This window comes from Homo sapiens, chromosome 9 (assembly GCF_000001405.40).
Source record: "Homo sapiens chromosome 9, GRCh38.p14 Primary Assembly".
NCBI classification, from domain to species: domain Eukaryota; kingdom Metazoa; phylum Chordata; class Mammalia; order Primates; family Hominidae; genus Homo; species Homo sapiens.
Genome location: NC_000009.12, coordinates 89,507,319 through 89,508,609, shown reverse-complemented (window position 1 = coordinate 89,508,609; position 1,291 = coordinate 89,507,319). Strand labels below are relative to the sequence as shown.

General features: G+C 43.8%; 1 annotated feature.

The window, feature by feature from the left end:
* Positions 721–780: a silencer, noted in NCBI's record as "silent region_20014". NCBI's record gives its function as "represses an Ori minimal core promoter by ATAC-STARR-seq in GM12878 lymphoblastoid cells {active_cell/tissue: GM12878}" and the evidence as "EXISTENCE:reporter gene assay evidence [ECO:0000049][PMID:35858748]".

The following is a 1,291-nucleotide window of genomic DNA, read 5'->3' as shown; positions in this document are numbered from 1 at the left end:
TGTGCCCCCTTCCTGCCTGCCTACTTGTGTTGGGGCATTGGCTTTGTCTTACCCTTGGACTGGGACTTACCCCATTGTGTCCCCTGGTTCTCAAGCATTCAGACTCGAATGCATTACACCACTTGCTTTTCTGGGTCTCCAGCTTGCAGAAAGCAGGCTGTGGGACTTCTCTGCCTCCATAATTACTGAAGCCAATCCCTTATAATAAATCTCTCTATAGGAAGGTAGGTAGGTAGATTGATATAGAGACGTATCACCTATTGATTCTGTTCTCTGGAGATCACTAATACAGCAGGGAGTCAAATGAAGCTGCCTAAAATTGCCTACAGTAAGTGGGAAAAATAAACCGTCAAGCTTAGTGTTTGATGATATATAGGAGACAAATAGGAAACCTAGTAATACTACAATTGACCCTTGAACAACAAGAGTTTGAACTGCATGGGCCCATCTATACACAGAATTTTTTCAACCAAACACAGATGGAAAATACAGTATTCACTGAATGCAAAACCTTAATGTAGACGGGGTGGACTTTTCCTACATGTGGGTTCTGTGGGTCGACTTCCAGACTTGAGTATGCGTGGATTTTGGCATACCCAGGAGTCCAGAAACCAATCCCCCATGTATAGCAAGGGATGACTATATTAGTATTTTCAATAATTTAGAAGGTGTAAACCAAAAATAAAGTTTGAAGGACCCCTCCCCCTGCAACCACCTGAATGAACTTCCTCCTCTGCCAGGGCACTCTAAAATCTAACCCGAAAGACTGGTTCAGGCTGGGACAGGAAACGGGGGTTGGACATGCCTCATTATACCCCTCCAGCATCAACATCAACACAGACCGTAAGTCTGTTAAGAAACATTCACTATCTATTTTTTCTGAAGCCTGCTACCTGGAGGCTCCATCTGCATAATAAGAACCCTGGTCTCTACAACCCCTTAACCCACACAGTCCGTTCTACTGATAATAACTTTGTCATCCAATTGCCAATCGGAATATGTTTAAATCTACCCATGACCTGGAAGCCCCCACTCCCACTTCAAGTTGCCCCGCCCTTCCAGATGGAACCAATGTACAGCTTATATGTATTGATTGACATATTATGTCTTCCTAAAATGTATAAAAGCAAGCTGTAGCTTAACCACCTGTTGTCATGACCTCCTAAGGCTGTGTCACATGGGCATGTCCTTAACCTTGGCAAAATAAACTTCCTTTTTTTTTTGTTTGAGATAGAGTCTCACTCTGTCACTAGGCTAGAGTGCAGTGGCACCATCTCGGCTCACTGCAACC